The 3,139-nt window shown below is 45.8% G+C and overlaps 1 annotated feature.

Annotated features, from left to right (window-relative positions):
* Positions 1,546 to 2,254: an enhancer, noted in NCBI's record as "H3K27ac-H3K4me1 hESC enhancer chr12:98718309-98719017 (GRCh37/hg19 assembly coordinates)". NCBI's record gives its function as "activates a minimal SCP1, AML or CMV promoter by ChIP-STARR-seq in primed H9 embryonic stem cells {active_cell/tissue: H9 hESC(primed)}" and the evidence as "EXISTENCE:reporter gene assay evidence [ECO:0000049][PMID:30033119]".

Here is a 3,139-nt window from a genome sequence, read left to right on the forward strand (position 1 = left end):
CATATGAGTGAGAACATGTGGTATTTGTCTTGCCTGGTTTATTTCACTTAACCTAACGGCCTCCAGTTCCATCCAGTCATCCATTTATTGCTGCAATTGACAGGATTCCATTCTTTTTCATGGCTGAATAATATTTCATTGTGTGTTTATACCACATTTTCTTTATCCATTCATCTGTCGGTAGGCAATTAAGTTGATTCCATATTTTGGCTATTGTGAATAGTGCTGCAATAAACATAAGAGTATAGATATCTCTTCAATATACTGATTTCCTTTTCTGTCTTTTGGATAAATACCTAGTATTGGGATGGCTGGATCATATGGTAGTTCTATTTTCAGGGTTTTAATTTTTATTTTAGATTGAGGGGATACACGCACAGGTTTGTTACCTAGGTATATGGTATGATGCTGAGGCTTGGGTACAAATGATCCTGTCACCCAGGGAATGAGTATAGTACCCAATAGTAAGTTTTTCAACCCTTGCCCCCTTCCTCTGTCTCCCTAGTAGTCCCCAGTTTCTATTTTTGCCATTTTTACATCCCTGAGTACCCAATATTTAGTTCCCACTTGTAAGTGAGAATATACAGTATTTGGTTTTCTGTTCTTGTGTTATTTCACTTAGGATAATGGCCTCCAGCTGAATCCATGTTGCTGTAAAGGGCATGATTTTTTCTTTTTTATGGCTTTGTGCTATTGTAGTATGTATATGTATACCACATTTTCTTTACCCAATCCACCATTGATGGGCAACTAGGTTAATTCCATGTCTTTGCTATTGTGAATAGCGCACAATGAACATGGCAGTGCATGTGTCTTTTTGGTATAATGTTTTTTTCTTTTCATTATTGATATGGTTTGGCCCTGCATCCCTACCCAAATCTCACCTTGAATTGTAATAATCCCCAAATGTCAAGGACAGGACCAGGTGGAGATAAATGAATCATAGGGGTGGTTTCCCCCATAATGCTCTCGTGATAGTGAGTTCTCGCAAGATCTGATGTTTTTATAATGGGCTTACCCCTTTGCTTGGCACTCATCCTCTCTACTCCCACCCTGTGAAGAGGTGCCTTCCGCCATGATTCTAAGTTTCCTGAGGCCTCCCCAGTCATTGGAACTGTGAGTCAATTAAACCTCTTTTCTTTATAAATTACCCAGTCTCAGGTATTTCCTTATAGCAATGTGAGAACGAACTAATCCAGATATTTACCTAGTAATGGGAATGCAGTCTCAAATGGTAGTTCTGTTTTAAGTTCTTTGAGAAATCTCCAAACTGCTTTTTAAGCGGCTGAACTAATTTACATTCCCACCAAGAGTGTATGTATTCCCTTTTCTCCACAGCCTCACCAGCATCTGTTGTTTTTTGACTTTTTAATAATAGCTGTTCTGACTGGTATGAGATGGTATCTCATTGTGGTTTTGATTTACATTTCTCTGATGATTATTTTTAGTTGTTTGAGGAACCTCCATACTGTTTTCCACAGTGGTCGTACTAATTTACATTCCCACCAACAGTGTATAAATGTTCCCTTTTCTCCACATCCTTGCCAACTTCAGGGGTTTTTTTGTCTGTTTAATGATAGCCATTCTAACTAGGGTAAGATGATATCTCATTGTGATTTTAATTTGCATTTCCCTGATGATTAGTCTTTGTAGGATTTCTTTGGCTATAAACAGCATTGGTGGTGTCTGTGATTTCCTTGATGACAGGATGCAGTTTGCTAGTGGACACTGTTGTGATGAAGTTTTGCTGGGGACTGGGACACCAGGTAGGCCAGTCTTCAGGCCCCAGCAATGGCAGCAGTGGGCTGAGCATGCCTGTCCTAGGGCCCCAGAGCATCATACATACTGGTGTTAGCAGGTCCAGGTAGGCTGATTATTGGGCCTCCGGGTGGCTTGTTCCCAGGAATGGCAGCAGTGGGCCAGGCATGTGAGCAGGTTCCCAAGCCCCTGTGCAGTGGGTGTGGTGTGGGTGATGCCAGTAGCAGCAACGGACATCCCTCTGGGACCCAAGTGGTCCACATTGGTGTTGGCAGTGCCTGTGACAGGTCAGGCAGGCCAGTCCCCAGACCCACATGTGGGACCTGCAGGTCAGTGGCAGTTGTGGTGGTAGCAGCAGGTTGAGTGGGCCCAGCCTTATACCCCAGGAGGAGTGCTCAGGTGCCACTGGTGGTGGAGAGGGCTGGGCAATCCCCAGGCCTCTGGATGCTGCACTCTTGTACTGGAGGAGGTGGAGCCAGGCCAGACACCCTAGTGGTTCATATAGATGCTGGCTGTGGTATGCAAGGGTAGGGTGAGCCATGGCCAGCAAAATGCTCAGGTGGAGGCAGCAGAGGCCCTGCTACTAGGGAGGATGGGTTGCTTTCCCTGGGAGCCACCATAGGTAGGCAGCCAGGGAGCATGGGCATCCCCCTGTGCCTCACCCACCTGCAGTCCACAGCCACAGCAGCTGTGGGCAGTGGAATTTGCCCTTGGGGCATGTAAGAATGCACAGCTGCCCCTCTGCATGGGGCCAGGGCAGGTGTGTGTGGGTAGGGTGGGTGCGAGATTGCTGCCTCATCCTGGTTGCCAGGCAAAACCCAGTCCAGTGGGGGCTGGGCTCTTTACATGGCACTGTCTGACCACTGCTTAGGGATGTGTGGGACCCAGGATGAGCTCTGTCTCTAGAGCAGTGCCTTACCACGGTTTCCAGGGAGCCCCCTATGTTAGTCTTGGGGCCACTGGGGTTGAGAGGCTCTCCCGTTGTAAGATTGCAGGGATTCATGCTGAGAATGTGGACCACTGGGTATCTCTCATTTACCTTGTCCCACAATGGGGAGTCTCTTCCAGCTCCCAGCTGATCTTGGCCAAACAGGCTTCCTCTCTTCCCTCTCCTTCCTTACTTTAGGTGTTTCCTGTCAGTTCTCTGTTGAATTCCAGTGTTCTCCCTTAGATGATCTATTTGAAGTGTGATTATCTGCTCACTATTTTGGTTTTTCTTAGCAGAAGAGGCGAGTAAGAGACGCCTCTACTCAGCCATCTTGAAGCCCCTCCACAATAAACTGAGAGAAAATGTCGATGGATAAAAACAAAGTACAAGATAATCTGTACGGTATACACAGGTTTGCCATTTACATAAATTTTTAAAGACACAATACTACAT

Source organism: Homo sapiens, chromosome 12 (genome assembly GCF_000001405.40).
Source record: "Homo sapiens chromosome 12, GRCh38.p14 Primary Assembly".
Classification (NCBI taxonomy): Eukaryota; Metazoa; Chordata; class Mammalia; order Primates; family Hominidae; genus Homo; species Homo sapiens.